Source organism: Homo sapiens, chromosome 1 (genome assembly GCF_000001405.40).
Source record: "Homo sapiens chromosome 1, GRCh38.p14 Primary Assembly".
Lineage (NCBI taxonomy): Eukaryota > Metazoa > Chordata > Mammalia > Primates > Hominidae > Homo > Homo sapiens.
The window spans coordinates 39,096,635-39,122,672 of NC_000001.11; the positions used below are offsets into that span (position 1 = coordinate 39,096,635).

Consider the following 26,038-nt stretch of genomic DNA (forward strand, 5'->3'; position numbering starts at 1 on the left):
ACCTTCCTCCGTTTTTGTTTTTGAGACAGAGTTTTGCTCTGTTGCCCAGGCTGCAGTGCAGTGGCACAATTGTAGCTCACTGCAACTTCAAACTCCTTTACTTCCCTCACTTTTTAACCATTATATTATACTACCTTTCCTCTAGTAGTAAATATACCAGTTTATCTGCTTCAGAGTCCATGTCTGAGGACTGGAACCACTGCCACCTGACCTACTGCCCAGAGTCTTCATGAGGGATTCCTTTTTTTTTTTTTTTTTTTGAGACGGACTCTTGCTCTGTCACCCACGCTGGAGTGCAGTGGTGTGATCTCGGCTCACTGCAACCTCTGCCTCCCAGGTTCAAGTAATTCTCCTGCCTTGGCCTCCTGAGTAGCTGGGATTACAGGTGCCCACCACCACGCCCGGCTAATTTTTGTATTTTTAGTAGAGACGGAGTTTCACCATGTTGGCCAGGCTGGTCTTGAACTCCTGACCTCAGGTGATCCACCCGCCTCAGCTTCCCAAAGTGCTGGGATTACAGGTGTGAGCCACCGCGCCTGGCCTCTTCATGAGGGATTCTAACACCCAGATGTTCAGGCTCCAGGGGCAGTGTGTCCCTCCTAGCGTTGCTTGGCTGATCCTCTGGTCCTTCCAGCTTGAGGTTCAGGCTCTATCCCCAGAACACACAGAGCTAGGCTAGAGCATATCTGGTTCTGTTCTGCCAGTATAATTAAACTAAATATCCAAAAAATGAATTTCAAGGATTCAATCTTGACAGACTGAAGTCGAGTTGCAATAGGATTCAGGTCCTTAACATCATGGCGGGAGGATAGCACAGTGGCTCATGTCTCTAACCCCAGAACTTTAGGAGGCCAAGGTGGGTGGATCACTTGAGCTCAGGGGTTCAACATCGGCCTGGGTTACATGGCGAAACCCCATCTCTACAAAAAATACAAAAATTAGCTGGGCATGGTGGTGTACACCTGTAGTACAAGCTATCTGGGGGACTGAGGCTAGAGGATCACTTGAGCCTGGGAGGTTGAGGCAGCAGTGAGCCATGTTCATGCCACTGTACTGTAGCCTGGGTGACAAAGTGAAACCCTGTCTCAAAAAAAAAGAAATTCATCAAGGGAATGAGTTCCATTTTTGTTATAGGGGCCTGTGCCCCAGGACTGCCCTGATGCTGGTGAACTGCTTCACGTGACTCTGATCTCAACTGAGAGCATTGGCCACCACTCTCAAGGGCCTCTCCCGGCCTCAGTGATTTGTGCTCTTTCCAGGCTGCCTGTTAGTGCCCCTTTAGAGGTTTCTACCTTGAGATGGTGTTGGATGGGGAGCTGTGGCTTCAAGTGAAGAGAAGTTTCATAGATTAAAAAAAGCCACACCTCACAGTTTGGGGAACCTCCCAATTCCCCAAAGAGTATAGACTGCCTCAGAGGATCCACACAGGGTAAGACCCTGTCCTGCCTCAGAGCAGGAAGAGAGATTGGGTATGGTTCAGCAGGGCTCACATTAGCCTGATTCCTTCAAGAGTGAAGATAAAAACAGTTTTACTGACAAAGAAGCTGGGAGACAGCAGAGGGGCCAATACCTTTTATAACTACTATTGTTAGGTTCTGAATGCCAGCCTTGGCGCTCAGCATCTTACATGCTGTATTTGACCTAATCCTCAAAACAACTTTAGGAGGCAGATGTGCTACAGCAGAGGAAGCAGAAGCCCAGAGAGTTTGGTAACTTGCTCAAGGTCTCCCAGCCAGTAAGGGGCCAAGCTTGGAATGGTGCTAGCTCTGCCTAGGGCAACCCACTGCCTCCCCCATTACAAGGAACAGTAGTTTAATAACAGCTAACATCTGTGTAGCACTTCAAGGTTCACGGAGTGCCTTAACATCCATTATCTCTACTGTGCCTTGGGAAGCCGGTGCGGTGAGGCCTTCCACGCCCCTTTGGGATAGCTGCCTGTCAGGGGTCCAGCCTCTGCTCATTTCTTCCAGGAAGCACTGGAGATTATTTGGAGTTGGCTCTGACGAGCCACGGGAGAGGCCTAGGGAGAGGCTGAGGTGGAGCGACTTGGCCAGTTGCTATGGTAACCCAGATGGCTGAGTAACCATTTTGAGGGTTGCTATGGTGATGGGCTGCTGGTGGCAGGGATCTTGTCTTCCTGGGTGGCTGGCACCCTCCAGGCCTCTTAAATTGAGATGTTGCACTTTCTGAACAGAAGAGGGCAGCATGAGAGCAGGCAAAGGCTTCTTACCCCAGAGCGGATTTGGGAACTTGAGGCAAAGCTTAGAAAAGGTTTCTAGGAGCTGGGCAGAAAGGGAGCTTTGGCTGGTGCCCAAGAGGCTGGTGGAGCTTCACTTCTGAGACTAGAACTAGGTAATTTTCTTCCAAGAGCTGGTCAAAGGATAATGCTTGGGGCTGCCCCTTCAGTGCCTGGCATCAGCTACTATTGGGGAATATAAAAGTTACAGCAGACAGCTACCCTTGCAAGGAGGAATGGAGAGAATATGTGCATGTGTGCACACACACACACTCACTACTAGCAAAGAATTTCTTTTTTTTGAGATGGAGTTTTGCTCTTGTTGCCCAGGTTGGAATGCAATGGCACGATCTAGGCTCACTGCAACCTCTGCCTCCTGGGTTCAAGCGATTCTCCTGCCTCAGCCTCCCAAGTAGCTGGGATTACAGGTGACCACCATCACGCCCGGCTAATTTTTTGTATTTTTAGTAGAGACGCGGTTTCACCATATTGGTCAGGCTGGCCTCGAACTCCTGACCTCAGGTGATCTGCCCGCCCTGGCCTCCCAAAGTGCTGGGATTACAGGCATGAGCCACCGCACCTGGCCTAAGAATTTCTTTATAAAGCATCAGTTAACACATAAAATAATGCAGCATGAACCAAAGGTGAAGAAAAGCTGGGAATAAACTTTCTAGAGGTTGAGGAAGGAGCACTAGCAGAAAGAGAAATAATTTTGTACTTCCCTCTTTCCTCCCTACACATGAAGTGCCCTCAGCCCTTGACCACTGAGTGGACATTGAGTTGGATTCTCAATTGTCTTGAATCAGATCTGGCTCCCTCCCCCAACCCCCATAACAGTTCAATGAGGCATCCATTCCTTCAGCAAATATTTATTGAACATCTACTATGTGCAAAGTATTGTGTTAGGCCCAGTGATGAAGAAAGATGAAATAGATGTCTTTGCCCTCAGGAACCTATGAAGTAGGAGGTTAAGGAGGCAGTGATACAGACATCCACAGTACATGTACCTGGAGTTCAAGACCAACATAGTGAGACCCTGTCTCTATAAAAAATTTTTTTAAAAAGCTGGGCACGGAGGTTCACACCTGTAATCTCAGCACTTTGGGAGGCTGAGGCAGGCCGACTACTTGAGCCCAAGAGTTCGAGACCAGCCTGGACAGTATGGTGAAATCCTGTCTCTACAAATAGCACAAAAATTATCTGGGCGTGGTGGCACCTGCCTGTAGTCCTAGCTGCTGGTGGGTTAATTGGTGGGCGCACTGAGGCAGGAGGATTGCTTGAGCCTAAGAGGCAGAGGTGTCAGTGAGCCAAGATTGTGCCACCGCACTCCAGCCTGGGTGATAGAGTAAGACGCTGCCTCTAAATAAATAAATAGAAAAAAAATTTCACGTCATTTGGGGTGAACTTTCAAGGTAGATTTCAGTAGGTGGAGTTGGGGGATGGGACATTCTAGGCAAAGCCTCAGAGTCTGATTATAGGGAAAGGAGGTACACACAAGGGTGTCATTGGAGATCAGCCTGAAAAGGAAGCTAGATGTCTAAATATGGAAGACTTGGAATTCCAGGCTTAGATAAGGGATGCTGTGAGACAAACATACTCTCTCCTTAAATACTCTAGCCTTCCAGCTAGTCAGTAGTCACAGACAGCCAAGTATTTTAGGATCATCTGGTTCACTCATTCATGCATTTAATCAAAAATTTAGGCCGGGTGCGGTGGCTCATGCCTGTAATCCCAGAACTTTGGGAGGCTGAGGTGGGCAGATTACCTGAGGTCAGGAGTTTGAGACTAGCCTGGCCAACAAGGTGAAACCCCATCTCTACGAAAAATACAAAAATTAGCCGGGGGTGGTGGCAGGCGCCTGTAATCCCAGCTACTCGAGAGGCTGAGGCAGGAGAATGGCTTGAACTCAGGAGGTGGAGGTTGCAGTGAGCCCAGACTGCGCCATTGCACTCTAGCCTGGGTGACAGAGTGAGACTCCGTTGCAAATAAATAAATAAATTAAATTAAATTAAATAAAGTAAACAAATATACAAATGCACGCGCGCGTGTGTGTGTGTGTGTATGTATATTTTTAGAGACCAAATTTTGCCATGTTACCCAGGCTGGTCTTGAACTCCTGGGCTCAAGCGATCCTCCTGCCTCGGCCTCCCAAATTGTTGGAATTACAGGTGTGAGCCACCATGCATAGCATTAAAGAAATAGTTGGCCAGGTGCGGTGGCTCACGCCTGTAATCCCAGCACTTTGGGAAGCCGAGGTGGATGGATTACCTGAGGTCAGGACTTCAAGACTAGCCTGGCCAACAAGGTGAAACCCCATCTCTACTAAAAATACAAAAATTAGCTGGGCATGGTGGCAGGCGCCTGTAATCCCAGCTACTTGAGAGGCTGAGGCAGGAGAATCACTTGAACCCAGGAGGTGGAGGTTGCAGTGAGCCGAGATCACACCATTGCACTCCAGCCTGGGTGACAGAGCCAGACTCTGTCTCAAAAAAAAAAAAAATATGTATATATATATATATGTGTGTGTATATGTATATTTTTAGAGACCGAATTTTGCCATGTTGCCCAGGCTGGTCGTGAACTCCTGGGCTCAAGCAATCCTCTGGCCTCGGCCTCCCAAAGTGTTGGGATTACAGGTGTGAGCCACTATGCATAGCATTAAAGAAATAGTTGGCTGGGTGCGGTGGCTCACTCCTGTAATCCCAGCACTTTGGGAGGCCAAGGTGGGTGGTTCACGAGGTCAGGAGATGGAGACCATCCTGGCTAACACAGTGAAACCCTTTCTCTACTAAAAATAAAAAAAATTAGCTGGGCATGGTGGCGGGCGCCTGTAGTCCCACCTACTCGGGAGGCTGAGGCAGGAGAATGGCGTGAACCCGGGAGGTGGAGGTTGCAGTGAGCCGAGATCACGCCACTGCACTCCAGCCTGGGTGGTGACAGAGCGAGACTCCATCTCAAAAAAGAAAGGAAAGAAAGAAAGGGAGGGAGGGAGGGAAAGAAAGAAAAGAGAGAGAGAAAGAAAGAGGCTGGGCGCGGTGGCTCGCGCCTGTAATCCCAGCACTTTGGAAGGCCGATGCGGGCGGATCACGAGGTCAGGAGATCGAGACCATCCTGGCTAACACAGTGAAACCCCGTCTCTACTAAAAATACAAAAAATTAGCCGGGCGAGGTGGCGGGCGCCTGTAGTCCCAGCTACTCGGGAGGCTGAGGCAGGAGAATGGCGTGAACCCCGGGGGGCGGAGCCTGCAGTAAGCCGAGATCGCGCCACTGCACTCCAGCCTGGGCGACAGCGAGACTCCGTCAAAAAAAAAGAAGAAAAAGAAAGAGAGAGAGAGAGAGAGAAAGAGAGAGAGAAAGAAAAGAAAAGAAAGACGAAATAGTTAATGAGTGCCCTATATGTGCCAGATCAGTTGCTAGGTGCTAAGGATCCTGTGGTGAATTAGACGACAAACAGTCTCAGCCCTCAGGGAGCTTACGATTTAGTAAGGATGAGAGACACTGTACCATAACTTCAAGTGTGATGAGTATTACCAAAGGGTAGAGGAGGACCTATTAATTGGAGGCGGGGGGGGGGTCAAGGAAGGCTTTCCCCTGGGGAGTTTCAGCAGAAGCATGGGTAGGAGTGAGCCAGGCCAAAGGAGAGTGATGAAGGGTTATAATCTGGGAGGAAAGTCGGTTGGATGGCCCTGAGGCGAGATAACACATTAGAGGCGCTGAAAGAAATAGAAAGTGGCAGGGCTTTAGGGATAGGGGTATTTGATGAGGCTTTAATTGGGAGGACACCAAGGATAAAGGGCATTAATTTCCTTGTATTACTCTTCTCTTCCACTAGATGCCCTTCCGAGTACATCCTTCTGCTTCCCCCATTGCAGCCTTCTTAGAAATGCAGCAGCAGTCTCACCCATCAGGAGCAAAAGAAAATCAAAGACCAAAAGGAGAAAGCCTCAGAGCTTTTGCGACTGTGTGGTCTGGCTATAAATTTAGACTGTTGCTTGAAAGAAGCGAAAAACCTCCCCTTCATAGACTTCCTTCTTCCCATCCCCCCTGGCAGCCGCTTTGTTCCTCTAGCCTTGTAAAATTTTCTCTGTATAAAACAGGAACATCAGCCAAACATGTGGACTTCCCCACTTTCCATTCATTAGAAGAATGCATTATTTCAAAATCTCCTGGGAGCATTTAAATGCAAATTTTGTCAAGAAAGCAATTTGAGTCTTAGAGAAGCTCTCTAGCCACAACCTAAAGCAGAAGTTTCTTCTTTGATTTGTGTGTTTCTTAAAAGGAATCTCAACCCCTTGCCTTCTCCCTGCAACGCCCCCAGGTCTTCTCTGATTCTCACAGCGGACTCTTCCCCTTTTTGCCCCTGTTCTTTCTTCACCTTTGGCAAGCATCAGTCACACATCTTGAGGAACCTGCTCACAAAGTGGCGCGTGTAGCAGCCCCAGGTGGGAATGGAGGGACTTTTCTATGTAGTGTAATGGACATAAGGAGGCAGATGTCTGTGTGGGGGTGAGATGTCTGTGTGGAGGTGTTTGTATGCGTGATTTCTGTCTGGGCCTTCTTAGGCCTGCTGGTATAAAATAATATGGGAAATGCAGATGACTCAGCACTGACACAGTCAAGATCCCCAGAGTTAGCATTTCTATATTCTCTGCTGTTTACGAAAAATGTGCTTGTGCCATCAATCAGCAACTCATCCTGCATTTTCCGCTAAAAGCCTTTTACTGAAAAATGCATATACTTCAAACTTATTCCCCTTCTTTTTGTAAACTGAGCTCATTAGCAGCTGACACCAAACTGAGAACTAGTTTTGTTTGTTTGTTTGTTTTAGCACGGAGGATTAAACTGGAAGGAAATGAGCATTTGTCTAAGGATCCTCCCTGTCCTCTTTCAGGCCCTTCCCTGCATGATCTTCATGCCCACAACTTGGGCAGGCCAGCAAAACTTGATGGGAAAAGATATGATTAATGACTTGCTCACCTGATTTCTGATCAGGGTGTGGTGTGGAAACAACCAGCATGCACCTATTAGCGAAAAGCGTCATTTGTTTTACTTGTTACCAATGTGCTGAGCATTGACCAAAATACTTGGCACTACTCACAAGGTACAAAGACACCTTCCCTAGCCTGGGGTTAAGAAGTTTCTCCTTCAAACTCTTGAGAATGGGAACTGGAATGGAAGCCCAAGTCCCAATTTTGGTTGCTCAGTGTTGCATGAATTCTTTTTTTACTTGCTAATGTGCCCTTATTGTGAGATCAGCCAGTGTAACTTCTTACCCACAACCACCTCTCCAGACCTCCTGAAAAATCAAGCTAACAGGGGAGGATAACTGCTAAATGGGGGGTGGCGGGCACAACGTGTCACCTACATTGACCAGAGTTCTTCATTCACTGCTCATGGCTCCAGCGCACTCCATGAATATTGGGATTGAATGATACACAACCGAATGTTGGATCAAATGATGTTGGGAGCTCTGTCCTCAAAATGGCCCCTAATAAATCCCTACCCATATTTTCCAGTTTCCTTTCTTTACTCTTTCCTTTCCCCTGATGACAAAGAATAATTGGCTTCCCCTTTTCTTCCCTGACCAGCTATGCTCCAGAGTCCTTTCTTTGTTCCCTAACAGTCCTGGTTCCGTCTCAGGTTCCCACATTTCTCCCTTTTGATCTCTGTCTCTCTGTTCAGATGGCTGTCACAGTTTAATAATTCTGGAGGGTCTATCCCCTACAGATTTATGTCTCCCTGTCTCTCCTCTTATTCACCCCATGGTGCATTCAGAATCCCGTTTTCGTGCCTCCCTGGGTTGTCATTTCTCAGGCTCTGGCTCCTTGGCCTGGTTTACTTCATGGTGCTGGATCTGCCCCGTCACTTCTTGTTCAGCTTCTTCTGTTTCTGGAAAACCCTTTGTTCCCGGGCTTCTTTGTGGGCTCAGTGTCCTCCGGCCCTACACTGCAGCCCTGTCTGGATCTTGCCCTTGTCCTCGTTCTGACCGCGTCTAGCCCTGGGATCTGAGGCATCGTGGTCTTTTGCCCTCTGCTTTCCCTTCAGTTTCTCCAGGTCCTTCTCCAGCAGCCGCACAGGCCCCGCTGGGTTTCTCTCCAGCCAGGGAGAAACCCTCCTTTGTCCCGCTCCCGGCGGCGTAGGTCAGCGCTGACTGGGGCTCCCGCTCGCCCTGTGGAGCCGGCCCGGGTCTCCCTGCCGTTCGGCCGGCCCAGCCTTTCATCCTGACGCGCGGGGCCTCCCACCCAGCGGGACTCCCGCGTGGGCCGGCCTCTCGCGCCCCTCGGCTCGGGCCCCAGTCCGGGCCGGGCGGGGGTCGGCAGCCCCTGGGGGACCCGTGTGGGCAGCCCGGGCCCAGCCGGCCGCAGCCTGGGGCCGAGGACTCGCCGGGACCCGGAGGCGGCGGGGAGAGGGGGCGGGGAACGGGCCGGGCCTGGCGCTCCTGACAGGAGGAGCCGCCGCCGCCGCCCGCCGCTGCAGCCGCGCCGGGGCGGGCTGAGGGAGGAGCGGAGCCGAGGGGTGAGGACGCGGAAACGCGAGCCGGGACCGGCGGAGCGCGAGCGGGCCGGGTGCGAGCGGACTGAGGAGCGGAGCGCGACTGCCGGGCCGGGCGAGGCGGGCGGACGGCGGAGAGCGAGGGCGCCGTCGCCGTCTCTGAGACGCACAAAGGGTCGAGGCTGGGGCCGCCGCCGCCTCAGCGCGCGGGCCTGGAACCGGCAGCCCCCGGGGCTCGGCGAGAAGGCGGTGCGGGCGGCCATGGCCGGCTACGTGCCGGGTCAGCAGCCGGCCAACCGCAGCCAGGAGAAGGAGTTCGTGCAGGCGTACGAGGATGTGCTGGAGCGGTACAAAGGTAGGGCCGGGGACTGGCCGGCGCTGAGGCCCGCGGGCCGGCGCAGCGTGGCCTTCGGAGCCGGTCGGCTCGGCGGCTGCAGGTGGGGCGGCCGGGCGGGGTCGCACCCACCGCGCGGGGCTTGGCCCTGAGCTGCTGCTTCTCGGGGCCAGTTTATTTACAGAGTTGAGATAAGCCTTCGGAAACCGCCCCCGGGGCAGTCGGCGCGCTCAGAGCGCCAGTTACATGATTTGCCCTATTATCCGGCCCCAGCTGGAAGAAGGCGAGACAAGGCGCTGGCCTGGAGACCGGCCGCCGTGGGGAGTTGCTGGGGAGGAGGAGGAGGAGGAGTTGGGCGCGGGAGAAACCACCCGCTCTGCTCTGGGTGCGAGCTTCCTCCCAGAGGGGCTCGGACCTCTGTGTGCCCGCGGAGAGTCCCTCCCTCGCCCCCTTTTGTCTCTTTGAGTCTCGGATGAGTCGCGTGGAAGCCGAGGTTGGAAAGCACCTTGGTGTCTTCGGGGTGGGGTGGGCAGCGGTGTGGGTGAGTGTGCAGTTTTTGGTGGCGAGACCTTACCCCCTCCATCTCCCCGGGGGTCTGGGCCTGCTGGAGGTAGGGGTCTGTTTTTTTCCTCCCACATAAAGATTTGCCTTGGAGCTCGGATTTCAGCCCTGAAGGCTCTCTTGCGAGACACTTCTGCAAGTTAATGCCTAATCTGCGCCTTGGGTGTATGGGGAGAAAGTTTTGACAGACAAGAGGGCCTGTGGACTGCATTTCCCTAACTGCTGTAGGTGCCCCTGAATGGAAGCCAGGGATGCGTGGCCTTGGGAGGCCCTTGCCTTGATCTTTAACATCCGGTTCTGGGAGTTTGCTTTGGCTGGCAGTTATGCTTTCCACAGACGGGGAGATTTTCCCAGAAACGACACAGGCAGCACTTTTCCCCATTTTATTCAGCTCGGGCCCTTGTGACTAGGCCCTTAGTTTCTTTTTATCTGAAGGAGAGGAAACTTCAGCCCCTATGACTGAGTCCAGCGTACTTGTTTACAGCACCTATCCAGTGAAGGGAAACTAATGAAGAAGCTGTAAAACGCCCCCCCTCTCCCCCCTCCCCCCCACTTTTTTTTTCTTGTGGCATTGGAACTCTGCTTGGGAATGCAGCAGGAAAAAAGTAGAGATGAAATGCGAAAAAAGACCTACTAGGGTTTTTGCTTGTTCCCTCTGCATCAGCTCCTGTAAACTGTCCAGCTTTTCCTGCCTGCAGCAAGTTTTCTGTCAACCCCCTGTGGTCTTTCTTTTTAAGAAATGTGGTTCATTTCAGAGCACAAAGAGGTTAGATTGTGCTGCTGAACTTCATTGAAAAAATGCTGCTCAGTGAATGGTTGCATTAAGTTTCCTTTGCAGGCTTTTGAGTAACACTGCTCTCTTCAGAGAGAGGAGATACATTAGGACCGTCCCGGGCTGTGACAGCTTCAAACCAGCAGAATTAAGACCCAAAATAGGTGAAGAAATCTCAGCACCTCACTGGATGGTAGTACTGGTGACCTCCAGCGGAAAGGAAGTTGGACTCCTAGCAAATGAGGCTGGGAAAGAAGGGGGCAGTAGGGCTTGTTCCAGGAGAGACCTCTTTTGTTCAGTTTTTTTTTTTTAGCTGTCTCACTCAGTTTGGCTTTCCTCTGAAGGGCCTTGATCAGGTGTATAGGAACTTAATCCTTCCCAGACACAGGTCTCTTTCTTGAGGGGAGGAATGAGTTAAAAATGGTTGCCCAAAGTAAATTACCTCGAGTTGTATACGGTGGTCGTGCAGTCTGCTCTTCTGATCGGTGCAGAACAATCTCTCTTCCCCCCACTGCACCGTTCTCACTGGGAGGTCAGAGTGGCTTAGCATCCGGGCCTTTGTTACTTTGCTTATGGAATTCCTGCATTTTCCAGACTTAGAAATCCCCGTACTACCTTAATAGGAGAACAGTTTGTCTAAGCAGAGGAGTGAGCTGGAATCTATAGAGTGACCAGGGGAAGGAGTTTGTGAGGATCATGCCACGTATTGGTTTTGGAAAGAGATGGGAAAATAGATATTGATGATGGTGGGGTGTTCTAGACCCTTATTGGCTGGTCACCACATTACTTGGATCTCTCTCTGCTGCTATTAATTTGTAGTCACCTCATTATACAGGCTGAAGCAGGATTTTTATATGCAGAAGGAGAGCTAAAATTTTCAGCTGCCTAAACTGCCCCTAGGGCCAATGGGAGAAGGGCAGTAATGTATTTGGAGTGTGAGGGAAGCAGAGCTGTGTGTAGTGCAGCTGTATTAGGAATGGTAGTCAAGTATGGGTTTTCCAGAACTGTGCTTGGCAACCATTTTTTTTTTTTTTTCTGTGTGGTGGCAGTGAGCATGGTCTTGGCAGGATTAGATGATTCAGCATGGAAATAAATGCTCTCCCTTATTTCCTAAATGTCCCAAAGGTTCTTTCAGATAGCTGGCCAGTAAACAGGAGGCATTAGATAATAACACTGGATTCTAACAGTTCAGAGTGGGCAGCAGCCAAGAGAACCAGGGTATATCCTTCATTTCCCCAATTCTCTGACAGTCATTAAAGTCTCTCTTGGAGGTGCCACAATGTTAGATGCCAGAATTCTGAATGAGATCTGGTTCCTGCCCTTGGTTATTCCATCTAGTAAGGGAAAGATACTTGCAAACAAGTAGTTGTCATACTGTGATAAGTGCTAGAACAGAGATAGTATGGAAGCCAGAGGAAGGCTGAAACCCTATTTGGATTTACCTGGGAGATTTGACAAAGGAGGTGACATGAGAGGGTTTTTTTTTTTTTTTTTTTTTTGAGACGGAGTCTCACTCTGCTGCCCAGGCTGGAGTGCAGTGGCACGATCTCCACTCACTGCAAGCTCTGCCTCGCGGTTCACGCCGGAGGAAATTAAGAAGGAATAGTCAGGGAGGTAGGAGAACCAGGATTTTATTCCTCTCCTAGGATAGAGACCAACTCTACTGAAGAAGCAGGTCACATATGAGCATAGTTTTAGGTTTTAAAGAGGTGGTTAAAAACCAGCACACTTGGTTGATGGTGGTTGGTTAAGACAGAATTAGACTTTTGTTTTCACAAAGCTTTAAGGACTAAATAGTCTTTACTTGCTGGGCTGGGCTAGGAATAAAAGAGAACATTCACATTTCAACATTGGTAACATCTATCTGGTACTTATGAAATTCAGAATTGTCACTAAGTGTTGTGGGTTATACGAAGCTAGTTAGGACCAATTTTCATTTATCCTAGTGCAGAAAATAACTTATAAAACTTACTGCACAGAGGGTTACAAGTGAAGAGTCTGCATATTACTTAATGTACAAAATTGATATCGTAGAAAGACTATGCTTTGGATTTCTTCTGTTGTGGGCTCCAGTCCTAGTTTTTGCCAGTTAATTTCTACTGTGTGACCTTGGAAAAGATTTCTCTCATCTTTTGGGTTTCTCATCTGTTAAAATAGGGATGATAATACTAATTTCTTGGGATTCATGAGAATATAAATGAGCTCTGGGCATATATTTGTCCTTTAATGTTCCATTTTATTTTACTTTACTTTATTTTGAGGTGGAATCTTGCTCTGTTGCTCAGGCTGGGATGCAGTGGCACGATCTCACCTCACTGCAACCTCTGCCTCCCAGGTTCAAGCAATTCTCCTGCCTCAGCCTCCTGAATAGCTGGGATTACAGGTGCACGCCACCATGCCTGGCTAATTTTTTCTATATTTTTTTTTAGTAGAGATGGGGTTTCACCATGTTGGCCAGGCTGGTCTTGAACTCCTGACCTTGTGGTCTGCCTGCCTCAGCCTCCCAAAGTGCTGGGATTACAGGCGTGAGCCATTGCACCTGGCCTATTTTATTTTTTAACTCTTTTCTCTCCTTTTTTTTTTTTCTATCTCCTACCAGAAGGAACCTTTAATGTTTAGAAAAACGTTGATTTATATCTTATTTAAGCTTTATAATATCCTGAAGGATAGTATTACACAGATGAATAAATTTAGGCACAGAGACTTAAAATTACTGTCTAAGAGCCAGGCTCCAGATTTCTGGGTGAAGGTTTCACATTGTATCACAGAAGGGAGTTTTAAAATCACAGTAGATGACTTGGGCTAAGTGAGAAATTGTGAAAATGCTTTAATTGTTAGTATCATTATTGTTGTTAGTTTTAGTTTCTGAAGTATAGTCACACACTTTAAGTGACATACATTTCCAGATCTCTGAACTGTGGAGAATTTCTTTTCCCCTTATTATGGGAGAAGTTTTACGATATATAAATCACATTGAAATTTTCATACAAAAATAATACAAAATAAAATAAAATACAAAAAATACAAGAAATAAATACAAAAATAATTTTTAAAATAGTACAAAATGATGAAATTTTGTTAACACAGTGATTGGAAAATATGGGTTGAGGATTTGGGATTGTTTACCTAAGTGACGCTCTGAAGCAACCTTTTGGTTATATGTAGATTCAGCTTATTTATCCTTTTTAGTGGATGTTGTTCTTTTTTTTTTTTTTTTTTTTTTGAGACAGGGTCTTGCTTTGTTGCCCAGGCTAGAGTGCAGTGTGGTGAGATCAGGGCTAACTGCAGCCTTCACCTCTCAGGCTCAAGTGATCTTCCTACCTCAGCCTCCCAAGTAGCTGGGACTAACAGGCATGTGCCACCATGCCTGGCTAATTTTTAAGTATTTTGAAGAGAAAAGGTCTCACTATGTTGCCCAGGCTGGTCTCAACCCCCTGGCCTCAAGTGATCATCCTGCCTTGGCCTCACAAACTGCTGAGATTACAGGCTTGAGCCACCGTGCCTGGCCTACACTCAGTTTTTAAGTTCCTTTTTAGATCAAAGTCCTAGAGTTGGAGTGGATAGTTTTTAGCCAGAACAAAAGAGTAAGTGCTACTTCTGGACATGAACACTGTTAATTCAGAAAGTGAGTCAAGTCAGTCTGCTGGGAAATCACAAGTTTTGGCCACATTCATGCTGTTGAAATAATAAAATGTGTCCATGTGCTAACAGTGCTTATGGGAGCTACTGCCTTGTCTTGGGCTTGTTGGCAAATGACGTAATACAAACCAGGGAAATGCACCAGCGTAAGCCTATTATACTGGTATTTTTCAGTGCCAATTCCAGGTTTAAGAGATCATGGTGGAAAGAATACTTCAGAGTGCATATCTGAGAACAGAAACATCCCAAGATCAAAAGTCACAAATGAACAATTATAGATTGTAAGGAGTCTGTTGTGTTTTCTCAGTGTTCTTGAAAACACCCAGTCTTTACTCCTTTTTCTAAGTAAGGTTGGCCCTTTCAGCTTCTGATAATTATATATTGAGCCATGTTGTGACTAGGTTGTATGGAATGCTAGAGCTCCTGTTTTTACTCTCATGGTTTTGATTGGAGTTGAAGCCTCTCTCGTCTGGCTTCTATTGGTGGCATTTACTAATTTTCTGGCCTGGTAAATGGCTTGTGGTAGCTAAGAATGTTTATTCCAGTTTTTTGGAGACAGGGTCACCCATGTCAGAGTGCAGTTGATACCATTGTGTAGCTCACTCTAACCTCAAACCCCCGGGCTCACATGATCCTCCCATCTCAGCCTCCGGAGTAGCTAGGATTAAAGGTGCATGCCACCATGCCCAGCTAATTATTTTATTTATTTATTTATTTATTTATTTATTTTTGGAGACGGAGTCTCACTCTGTCACCCAGGCTGGAGTGCAGTGGTGCGAACTCGGCTCACTGCAAGCTCCGCCTCCCAGGTTCATGCCATTCTCCTGTCTCAGCCTCCCGAGTAGCTGGGACTACAGGCGCCCACCACACACCCGGCTAATTTTTTGTATTTTTAGTAGAGAGGGGGTTTCACCGTGTTAGCCAGGATGGTCTCGATCTTCTGACCTCGTGATCTGCCCGCCTCGGCCTCCCAAAGTGCTGGGATTACAGGCGTGAGCCACCGCACCTGGCAATTATTTTATTTTTTTTATAGAGATGGGATCTTGCAATGTTTTCTAGGCTAGTCTCGAACTAGCTTCAAGCCATCCTCTTGCCCTGGCCTCCCAAAACGCTGGGATTTCAGGTGTGTATCTTCTGAAAGTACAGTTTGTTACTTCTGATGAAATATTTTTTTCTTCCAGAGCTTCTCAGTTTCTGAAGTAAATTAGAATTAATCTCTGATTCTTTGTCTCTTTCAGGGCTTTTCATAATTTGACTTACTCTGCACACCCAACTATACCATCTGTTACTGCCTAACACATCTCTCTTCTCCATTTGGACTGGTCTTAGCAACCTTAGCAACCCTTCCCCCTGTGTCCTGTGCCTTTGTTTACATTCTCTTTTCCAGGAATGCCCTCTCCCTTCCTGATTATTCAAATCTTTTTTTTTTTTTTTTTGAAACAGAGTCTCGCTCTGTTGCCCAGGCTGGAGTGCAGTGGCATGATCTCAGCTCACTGCAACCTCCACCCCCTGGGTTCAAGTGATTCTCCTGCCTCAGCCTCCTGAGTAGCTGGGATTACAGATACATGCCACCACGCCCAGCTAATTTTTGTATTTTTTAATAGAGACGGTTTCACCATATTGGCCAGGCTGGTCTCAAACTCCTGACTTTGTGATCTGCCCTCCTCGACCTCTCAAAGTGCTGGGATTACAGGCATGAGCCACTGTGCCTGGCCACAGTAAAATCTTTAAAAGATTTTTATTAAAGAAGTAAGATGTAATCCCAGCATTTTGGGAGGCCAAGGCGGGCAGATCACTTGAGGCCAGGAGTTCGAGACCAGTCAACACGGTGAAACCCTGTCTCTACTAAAAATACAAAAATTAGTCAGGCATGGTGGTGCAATCCCGTGGTCCCAGCTACTTGGATGGCTGAGGCACAAGAATTACTTGAACCTGGGAGACAGAGGAGGCTGCATTAAGCCAAGATGACACCACTGCACTCCAGCCTGGACAACAGAGCAAGACTTTATTGCAAAAAAAAGAAAAGGACTTTGTTCTAGAAAAGTCCTGGGATGAGGGGTAATTCTTTTTCAAGGCAAATCTTCTAGAAAAGAATTAGCAGTGTTAGTATCTAAACTTAATTCCCTGTACCTGCCCAAAATGTTCTCAAATACAACCCTCTCTTCTTTAACAGTCATCCCTAGAGCTGGGCATAGTCCCAGTTTCTAAGAAGGCTGAAGTAGGAGGATCGCTTGAGTCCAGGAGTTTGAGGCTACAGTGAGCTATCATCACCCCACTGTACTCCAACCTAGGCTACAGAGCAAGACCCCATCTCAAAAAAAAAAGCAAAAACATCATCCCTTAATCTAACCTCATGACTCAATTACAATGCGGCTTCCCAGAGAGTAGATTTCTACTGTCACCCATCATTTACATAACCTCTTCATTAATCCTGCCCATCACATAAAACTCAAATTCTTCCTACTGGCATTCCAGACCCTCCTCTCCCTACCCCTAATCTCAATATCATTCTTTCAGTGCTTCTAAGTGGCTCACCCATCTCCCTAATACCACTTTCCCCATCATAGTATCTGCTTGTAGGTACTAGTAGAATATAGTGCACACAGTGAGCTTATTCATGGTTGTTGACTGACTAAAAAGCACAGAAAAAAAAATCACTTCCTATATGTCTCAATCCAACATGTTCCTGCAGGTTGAAAACTATAAACTCCAAAAAACACTTCAAGCAAGCCCTTTCCTTTCATCAACACAAACGAATTGTGTTTATCGTTCTGAATAAAAATCACTATGGAAATTTGCCATGGTAAGAGGGAATCCAACAGTACATCTGGCAATGCTCTTGTCTAAAAGAAAGATGCTGACTGACCAATTATTTAATTAGTCTTAGGTGACTACTCAAATCATCCCTGATAATTGGAACATTCCTGATGGTTGACACATGGTCATACAGAAGAAAGCAATTTTAAACAGAGAAAAATAAAAGCTTGTGCCAAATGAAAGCAGACTTCCACTATAACACAATTTTAGGTAGCCACAGCAAGTGGAGGATATCAGATCCCAGGCAAGCAAAAAAGATCCCATCCTTGGCCAGGTACGGTGGCTCACACCTGTAATCCCAGCACTTTGGGAGGCCGAGGTGGGTGGATCACCTGAGGTCAGAAGTTTGAGACCAGCCTGGCCAACTTGGCGAAACCCCATCTCTACCAAAAATACAAAAATTAGCCAGGCATGGTGGTACATGCCTGTAGTCCCAGCTACTTGGGAGGCTGAAGCAAGAGAATCGCTTGAACCCAGGAGGTGGAGGTTGTAGAGAGCCCAGATTGTGCCACTGTACTCCAGCCTGGGTGACAGAGTGAGACTCCGTCTTAAAAAAAAAAAGGTCCCATCGTTGCTCACTCCATTTTTTCCCAAGCATCTACCTGTTGGTCAGCTTGCCTCTCTATCCCCTGCCCCTACACACCCCCACCCAACAACCACAGAAAGCATATTGTCTAAAGCTCTGTATACTTTACTGTTTTTTTTTTTTTTTTACAATTTTCCACATTAATATGTGTTCATAATATGAAAAGAAATTATTCAAAAATATAAATCAGTTGGCTTCCCTGGTGGTCTAGTGGCTAGGATTCGGCACTTTCAAAAATATAAATCAAAGTCCATGACTCTAAAAATAACATATGCATTGATATGCTCGCCCCTTTGACCCTTCTCTCAAGAGAAATTCCCTGCCAAGTAATCCACATACATAAGAAGTGTAAAAAGTCCCTAGATTAAAAGAGCATAAAACTTCATTATGGAAACACAGTAGTCCCAGCTATTTGGGAGGCTGAGACAGGAGGATCACGAGTCCAGGAGTTTGAGGCTACAGTGAGCTATGATCACGCCATTGCACTCCAGCCTGGATGACAGAGGAAATATTAATTTTAGAGTAATCAGAGAAAGCCGCATGAAGAATAAATTAATAAGTATTTATTGAATGTCTACCATGAACCAGGGAGTAGGTGATGTGCTGAGAAGACAAAGATATTGTCCTTGTCTCTCTATGATCTTACTGTTAAATGGAGGAAACATATTGGCAAACTGACAGTTACTGTCTATTGTAGGGAGGGCTATCATATAGATAAATGCTGATGCTGTGGTAGTGAAGAGGAGTACCCAGTATAGCCAGAGTGAGAAAGTGTCCAGGAAGGCATCCAAGAGTAAGTGAAACCTGAACTGTTACCTAAAGGATGTGGGACCCTGAGCAAAAAGTTTGGGGAAAGAGCATTCTGGGCAGCATGAACAGAAGTAAGGGGATGAGCAAGCTTGAGAGGGGGAATATTGGGCATTGATAAGGTTGGAGCATAGGATGTGAGGGAAGGAGAGATGAGATGAGATAGGGAGAGTGGGCAGGACAAAAATGTTGACTGGCTTTGTATGTCATATTGTATAGAGCTTGGACTTTATCCTAAAGGCTTTTGGGAGCCATTGAATAAAAGTAGGCAAGGAAGACTATGCTTAGATTTACATTTTAGGAGTACTTTTCCTCTGGCAGCAGTGCCAAGGAAGGTAGGGGCGAGGAGGAAAGACTAGTGGCAGACAAGTTAGGAAGCTGTCACAGGAATTTAGGCAGGGAGTGAAACTAAGGTTGTGAAAATAGTAATGTAATAAAGCAGGCAAATCAAGAAATGTGAAGGGGTAACATCCATGTGTTTTGATGACTAATTGTATGTGGTATATGAGGGGGAGAGGGAAGAACCTAGGATGACTTGGAGGTTTCTGGCTTGAGTATTTGTGTGGGTGGGTCGTGTCATGAACTAAAATAGAGAATATAAGAGGAGGAAGGTTATTTTCTGTGAAGTGGTGGCAGTGATGGTCCACGAGAAGATACTGAGTTTAATTTAGGTTACATTGCGGTCGAGGCTTCTGAGGGATGCTAGGTAGAGATGTCCAGGAGGTAGTTGGTTGTAATGAACATGAAACTTAGGAGAGTGATAGGTGAGAGGGTGAGAGAGTCATCAGCTTATCAAACCACAGCCATAGGAGGGGAGAAGGAGCTGGCTTTAGGAGTGTATGTATATTGAGACAAAAACTCTGGGGAACTCCAACAGGAGAGTGGTGTCAGAAGCAGAGAAAGAGGATCTCCTGAAGGAAATTGTCCACAGAAAGGGAGTGGCCAGAAAGGTAAGAGGAACAGGAGAGAAGTGAGTTTCAAGGAGAGTGTGACACACATTGTAGATTATGCAGAGGTCAAATAAGGCAAAGACTACAGATGTCCAAAATAAAGGTTACTGCTACTGGAACATTTTCAGTGGAGTTGTGGGAAGTGAATGGAAAGTGCAGAAGAGGAGTCAGTGACCTTTGGAACTTGGACTTTGAAGGAAGAGAGAGGAGGAAGACAGGTGAAGAAGGGTGGGGAGAGTTTTGTTTATGTATTGTAACACAGGAGAGACTTGAGCATGTTTATTTTAAGTGCTGTTTTGAAAGAGCCAGTAGAGAAGGAAGATATAATACAATTCAAAGACGGGGAGAAAAATTGATGGAGCATGGGCTCTAGAGTCAAAAGTTGTGTCTTTTAGAAAGATCAGAGGGTTAAAAATAAGAATGCAGGTGATTAAGTTGGTTGGTTAGAGGTGTAGGAACTTGAGGGAATTTCTCCTGATGCTCATACTCTCTCTATGAAGTAGGAGGTGAAGTTATTTGCTGAGAGTCAGGAGGAAGGAAAGAAGGGGTGAGTGTGTATGTGTGTGTGTGTGTGTGCACGTGTGTGTGTGTATGTGTGTGTGTTTTCCCTCTAGCCCTAGAAGCACTCAACAACCTGATTGTAATAGATTCCAAGGCAGACAGGTAGATTGATCTAGGATCAGAATTTTCCAGCATAGTTTTGACGGAAGAATATGGGGTCCTTGTAGTTTGTCTTAAAATGTAGCATCAGTTTGATTATTGATTGTTTGTACTGTTGTTCTCTGGCTGGCTTGTATTTTGGCTCCCCAGTGAAATTGTCTACTCCTCTGGGAAGAAGCATATATGTAACTTTTGCATTCCTGCCTGTCATTTAGCTAAATACTATGCAGAAATTAATTCTTAAGTTTTTGTTGAGATAATTTGACTTTTGGACAGGACATCTTGACTCTTGACATAGAGAGAGGCTTTCCTCACTTGTGGTCTTTAATCCCCATCTCATTATCTGACATGGATAGTGGAGGATTCACTCACTCTCCATGAGTGAACTCCAGGCCTAGCTTCTTCATTAGTCTTAACAGGTTAGCTTTACTACTCTCCCCAGGGCAGTTGAGCTTTGCTTTCCATGAAGGTTATGTAGTTAATTTGTACTAGGCTTGTGAAGACCTGGGTGTTTACAAGACTGGACAGAGAGGCTGTTGTGGAAAATGCAGCCTCCTTCTTGTTTATTTTGGCAGGCAGGCAATGAAGGAGATAGATTTGTTCTCATGACTCAGAGCCCTACCTGCTTTACCTTAACAGGTTCAATATAACCACCACCTTTCAGATGTGATAGTGTCCTTCAGAGTTTATCTGACCTTTATATCTAAAAAGAGTATTAGTTACCCTTTGCCCTCTACTTGCTTGGTTTTTTTTCACTTTTATTCCAGTGTAGAGGATATTTCCTAATGTGTTAGGGCCAGCTCAGAATTGATGTAGTTCTTTCCCATTGGCACATTCCGCATCTTTGTTTGTTTATTGCCATGTTCGCCACAGTGTGCCTTGTTTTGCGCTCCTTGTTTTGTGAAGCTGGACTCTTATCAGATAAACTTGCCATGAGTCACACTGGGGAGTGGAAGTATGTCTCCACTAATTTGGAGAATCTTTGATCTTGTTTCACTCCCTGGTTTGGCTTGTCCAGTGCAATTTGTCTCTCAACCTGCAAGAGGTGTGTGTGTGTGTGTGTGTGTGTGTGTGTGTGTACTTGGGTGTCCCTTGCCTGTGGCTTCACCTGTTGCCATGAATGGTTGACTTCAGGGCATGCCCCTTTGTGTATACAGACTTCCTCTACTATTGTTATCACCATCAGCAAAAATGTCTCTGTTAAGAGCCTCTTTGAATGTAGAATATAGTATATAACACTGAGAGTTCATAAACCCTCTGTCCTCTAGGGATTTACAGTATATAATACACATTACAAATGACAAAAGACAATAAAGAATGTGTAAGCGGTTGAACAAATAATGGATTATTGCTCCTCATTTAGCTATCATATTCACAGTAGAAGATATCCTAAAAAGACATGTAGTCAGTGAGGAAGAGGATTAACAGAGACCAGATCATCTTCAGCTCCAACTAAGATGGCAGAGAGCTGCCACCTGTGGCCCTTTGATGCCAGGTAATTTCTCTCTGATATCCTTTCTAGTCATGCAGGACCTTTTTGCCATATTATCTATACATATGGGGCAGGATCCTAACAGGACCTTTGCTCTCTAGTGGTAACCTGTCACTGAAATGGGAGGCTCCAGTTTCCAGCAGGGAGAGTGCCTGGAAGGCTTGGCTCTTCTGGTACAGTTATCTTTGTAACTTGAGAAAATTTATTCCAGACCTACTACAAACATTCGTGTGCTCACAAGCACCACAGACAGAGCAGCAGCCAAAGCTAGCTGCAGCCTGAGCATGGGTCAGTGTAGGGAAAGAAGCTAACTGACCTGGCCTGAGTCACCTCTAGAGGGGAAGAATGTAGGACTTGTCCCAGCCTTTGTTGGTTAGTTTCCCAAATGGAAAACAGGGACCAGAGTAGGTGGGGTACTTTGAGGTCCTCATACCTTTCAGAGGACTGGATCCTTGTTTTCATTCTTGTTCTTATTGTTAATAAGTGTAATAACAGTATTCATGTAACACTGCCTTTATTAGGAAGAATGAGGAACTGCCAAAGGGCTGGAAATTTTCTTTACTTTCCCTGTGGGAGAGAAAGATAGATGGAGCATTAGGTGCCCATCTCTCAGGCCTCCTTTCTCTGATTATCCTGTGGGAAGTACCTGGAAAGCAGTGAGGCATTGGAAGGAATGGTCTAGGCCTTGGCATGAGTATGTGGTCGTGAAGGCATAAGACAAAATATCTTGTGTAGCTGTAGCACAGGTGCTGTGGTAAGAGGAAATAGGTTTGGGGGCAGTATTAAGGGGGCTAATAAGCGCAGAAAATAGTATTTGTTGCTGTCGTTAGTTACTTCACTTTGCCTTGCCTATATGTATTGTCTGACAGCAGAGCCGAAACTCCAGCATCCTTTTGTCTCCTCCTCCTCCTCCTCTTTTTCTTATTTTCTGACTTATAAAGATGTATATCTTCAATAAATAAGCTTGTGATGATATGGAAAGTTAAATAAATAAAAGTTCTAGAAATTGGAAAACTAAATGGTGATTTCATTGTGGTCTTTAAATATAACAAGTGTTATAGGCCACGGTGGCTCACACCTGTAATCCCAGCACTTTGGGAGGCCAAGGCGGGCAGATCACCTGAGATCAGGAGTTCTAGACCAGCGGGACCAACATGGAGAAACCCCGTCTGTACTAAAAATACAAAATTAGCTGGCGTGGTGGCCCATGCCTGTAATCCCAGCTACTTGGGAGGCTGAGGCAGGAGAATCGCTTGAACCCGGGAGGCGGAGGTTGCGGTGAGCCGAGATCGCACCATTGCACTCTAGCCTGGGCAACAAGAGCGAAACTCCGTCTCAAAAAAAAAAAAAAAAAAAAACAACCAGAAAAACAAACAAGTGTTATAATTGTAATTCTTGTAATTCCTTAAGCCAAAACTCCATTATAACATTTCTTAGTTTGTTGTTGTTGTTGTTGTTGTTACTTTTTGTGTGTATTTGTTTGAACTTCCCAGCTGTATTGTGATCTCTTTGAAGGTCTAGATTGTGTCTGATGAGATGCATATGATGCACTTCATGAATTGAGCTACTTTGCAAATGATGCTGGTTGTTTTATTTCTTAGTGTTTTCAGCAACTTCCAGCACCTTTCACAATGTTTCTTTCCACGTGGTTGTCCCACAGATGTTGCATACTTGATATGTCCAAAAGGGGCATTGTTGTCCCCCTCCCTGCTCCTGGACCTGCCTCTTCTTCTATGTTCCCGATTTTAGTGAATGCTTTTCCCGTCCATCCAGTGGAGAAATTCTAAATACTGAATGCTTTGTGTATACTAAATATATATTCTGTCCATTTCATAGTTTAAAGTGTTGCTATCAGATGGAGAATTGTAATGTGCAGAATATAATAAAGCCTCTTTTTTTTTTTTTTTTTTTTTTTTTGAGACAGAGTTTTGCTCTTGTTGCCCAGGCTAAAGAAGTGCAATGGCATGATCTCGGCTCACCGCAACCTCTGCCTCCCAGGTTCAAGCGATTCTACTGCCTCAGCCTCCTGAGTAGCTGGGATTACAGACATGCGGCACCACGCTTGGCTAATTTTGTATTTTTTAGTAGAGACGGGGTTTCTCCATATTGATGAGGCTGGTCTTGAACTTCTGATCTCAGGTGATCCACCTGTCTTGGCCTCCGAAAGTGCTGGGATTACAGGCGTGAGCCACCGCACCTGGCCAATAAAGCCTCTTTATACCATTTTCTAATTTCTATTTCATAGAATTTTAAAACTGCATAAGCCTTTAACCTCTGTTTCTCAAATTCACTTTCCCCTTTGGAATGTTATAATTCTACTTCACCTGACTCCTGGAACTCCCTGTTATCATGTAACATATTTTAATTATTTTGATTGTTGTCTGAGTCTTCCTACTACAAGAGTGAGACTGAGTCTCACTCTTGGCCAGGCTGGAGTGCAGTGGCGCTGTCTCTGCTCACTGTAACCTCTGCATTCTGGGTTCAAGAGATTCTCCTGCCTCAGCCTCCCGAGTAGCTAGGATTACAGGTGTGCACCACCACACTTGGCTAATTTGTGTATTTTAGTAGACACAGGGTTTCACCATGTTGGCCAGGCAGGTCTCGAACTCCTGACCTCGTGATCTGCCCGCCTTGGCCTCCCAAAGTGTTGGGATTACAGGTGTGAGCCACCACACCCGGCCAACAATGCAAACTTCTTTTAAAAATTTGTTTTTAAATTTTTTGTGGGTACATAATAGGTGTATGTATTTATGAGGTACATGAGATGTTTTGATACAGGCATGCAATGTGAAATAAGCACATCATGGAGAATGGGGTGTCTATCCCTCAAGCATTTATCTTTGTGTTGCAAACAATCTAATTACACTCTAAGTTATTTTAAAATGTATAGTTAAGTTATTATTGACTATAGTCACCCTTTTGTGCTATCAAATAGTAGGTCTTATTCTAACTATTTTTTAAAAATGTGGAACACTTCACGAATTTGTGTGTCATCCTTGTGCAGGGGCCTCCCTAACCTCTCTGTTGTTCCAATTTTAGTATATGTGTTGCTTAAGTGAGCACTAGAATGCAAACTTCTTAAGAATAGAGGTTTTTATTTGTGTATTAACTAATTTCCCTAGCACCTAGAAGAGTTTCTGGTATAAAGTAGCTGCTCCAATCAATATTGAATGAATGAATTGGAAATGTTAAGTTAGTTCACTCTTGTTCCCCATAAGGAAAAGAGGCATGGAAAGGCACAATAACTTGCTCAAGCTAACGCCATATCTCCTTACCAGGTAAGTGGGTTTTAAAAAAGTTTAAATAAAACGATGCTTAATCACAGTTCCTTTATGTGATTTGGTACTAATGTGTATTATGGACTTAACTGTATTATCTCTATGAAAAGGGGTGGGGGAAGCAAAAGGGAAGAAGCTAATATATATTGAGTCCTTACTATATGCCGGGTATTTTGTTTTATTTTATTTATTTATTTATTTATTTATTTGAGACAGAGTCTTGCTTTGTTGCCTGGTCTGGAGTGCGGTGGCACTATCTCGGCTCACTACAACTTCGCCTCCCGGGTTCAAGTGATTCTTGTGCCTCAGCCTGCTGAGTAGCTGGGACTAGGCGCGTGCCACCACTCCGGGCTAACTTTTTATATTTTTAGTAGAGACGGGGTTTCGCCATTTTGGCCAGGCTAGTCTCAAACTCCTGACCTCAGGTAGTCCGCTCGTCTTGGCCTCCCAAAGTGCTAGGATTATAGGCGTGAGCCACCGCGCCAGGCCAGTCTTATTTAATTGTCATAAATGATATCCTATGATAGTCCAGTAACCTTACTAGATTTTACAGATGAGAGAACTGAGGCTTAAGGAACCTAAATCACTTCCCAGAGGGTCACACAGCTAGTAAGTGACTGAACTGGGTTTTGAACCCAGGCCCGATTAACTCCATTTGGCCCTCTTTTACCTTAAGGCACAGGAAAATTTTGGATTTGTGGTCTGGGTTGCTTTAAGATTCCCAGATCAGACTACTCTTGAAAATGGTCTGATTTGAACTACTCAAGTAGAGTTACAAAAATTGTTTACCTTAAGACAGCCCCATGGAGCAGTGGGGTTGTGTCTGTAGCGCTCTTGAGTAAAAAAAAATTCTGTGTTGCACATACTCCCACTCAGTTGTATCGTATATAATTCACATTTCAGACTTTCTTTTTAACCAGGGATCCAGAATAACTACAGAAAGGTGATTATGTAACATACTTGTACAGTGCAGCCACTTCTGTGTTTGGTAATATTCTTTTTTTTTTTTTTTTTGAGATGGAGTCTTGTTCTGTCACTCAGGCTGGAGTACAGTGGCGCGATGTCGGCTCACTACAACCTCTGCCTCCTGGATTCAAGCAATTCTGTACCTCAGCCTCCCGAGTAGCTGTGATTACAGGTGCCCACCATCATGCCTGGCTAATTTTTTGTATTTTTAGTAGAGATGGGGTTTCACCATCTTGGCCAGGCTAGTCTTGAACTCCTGACCTCATGATCCACCTGCCTCAGCCTCCCAAAGTGCTGGGATTACAGGCGTGAGCCACTGTGCTCGGCTGGTAGTACTGTTAAGCGCTAAGAGCACAAACAAAAACTATGTCTAAAATGTAGGGCAGGTAGAGCAGGTGAGGATTAAACCCAGTTGAAATCAGCGGTTTCAGTAGTAAGTGGGCAGATC

At 46.0% G+C, this 26,038-nt stretch overlaps 1 protein-coding gene and 1 pseudogene across 1 annotated transcript in view, besides 8 other annotated features; one reads left to right on the forward strand and one right to left on the reverse strand.

The window, feature by feature from the left end:
* Positions 1–26,038, forward strand: part of MACF1 (microtubule actin crosslinking factor 1) — a 402,972-nt gene that overhangs the window by 12,468 nt on the left and 364,466 nt on the right. The window lies entirely within an intron of this gene.
* Positions 2,057–2,146: an enhancer, noted in NCBI's record as "active region_801". NCBI's record gives its function as "activates an Ori minimal core promoter by ATAC-STARR-seq in GM12878 lymphoblastoid cells {active_cell/tissue: GM12878}" and the evidence as "EXISTENCE:reporter gene assay evidence [ECO:0000049][PMID:35858748]".
* Positions 6,068–6,117: an enhancer, noted in NCBI's record as "active region_802". NCBI's record gives its function as "activates an Ori minimal core promoter by ATAC-STARR-seq in GM12878 lymphoblastoid cells {active_cell/tissue: GM12878}" and the evidence as "EXISTENCE:reporter gene assay evidence [ECO:0000049][PMID:35858748]".
* Positions 6,138–6,247: an enhancer, noted in NCBI's record as "active region_803". NCBI's record gives its function as "activates an Ori minimal core promoter by ATAC-STARR-seq in GM12878 lymphoblastoid cells {active_cell/tissue: GM12878}" and the evidence as "EXISTENCE:reporter gene assay evidence [ECO:0000049][PMID:35858748]".
* Positions 6,361–6,916: an enhancer, noted in NCBI's record as "NANOG-H3K27ac hESC enhancer chr1:39568667-39569222 (GRCh37/hg19 assembly coordinates)". NCBI's record gives its function as "activates a minimal SCP1, AML or CMV promoter by ChIP-STARR-seq in naive H9 embryonic stem cells {active_cell/tissue: H9 hESC(naive)}" and the evidence as "EXISTENCE:reporter gene assay evidence [ECO:0000049][PMID:30033119]".
* Positions 8,391–8,480: a silencer, noted in NCBI's record as "silent region_693". NCBI's record gives its function as "represses an Ori minimal core promoter by ATAC-STARR-seq in GM12878 lymphoblastoid cells {active_cell/tissue: GM12878}" and the evidence as "EXISTENCE:reporter gene assay evidence [ECO:0000049][PMID:35858748]".
* Positions 8,521–9,050: a silencer, noted in NCBI's record as "silent region_694". NCBI's record gives its function as "represses an Ori minimal core promoter by ATAC-STARR-seq in GM12878 lymphoblastoid cells {active_cell/tissue: GM12878}" and the evidence as "EXISTENCE:reporter gene assay evidence [ECO:0000049][PMID:35858748]".
* Positions 9,091–9,230: a silencer, noted in NCBI's record as "silent region_695". NCBI's record gives its function as "represses an Ori minimal core promoter by ATAC-STARR-seq in GM12878 lymphoblastoid cells {active_cell/tissue: GM12878}" and the evidence as "EXISTENCE:reporter gene assay evidence [ECO:0000049][PMID:35858748]".
* Positions 9,491–9,550: an enhancer, noted in NCBI's record as "active region_804". NCBI's record gives its function as "activates an Ori minimal core promoter by ATAC-STARR-seq in GM12878 lymphoblastoid cells {active_cell/tissue: GM12878}" and the evidence as "EXISTENCE:reporter gene assay evidence [ECO:0000049][PMID:35858748]".
* RNU6-608P (RNA, U6 small nuclear 608, pseudogene) lies at positions 24,306–24,409 on the reverse strand (annotated as a pseudogene).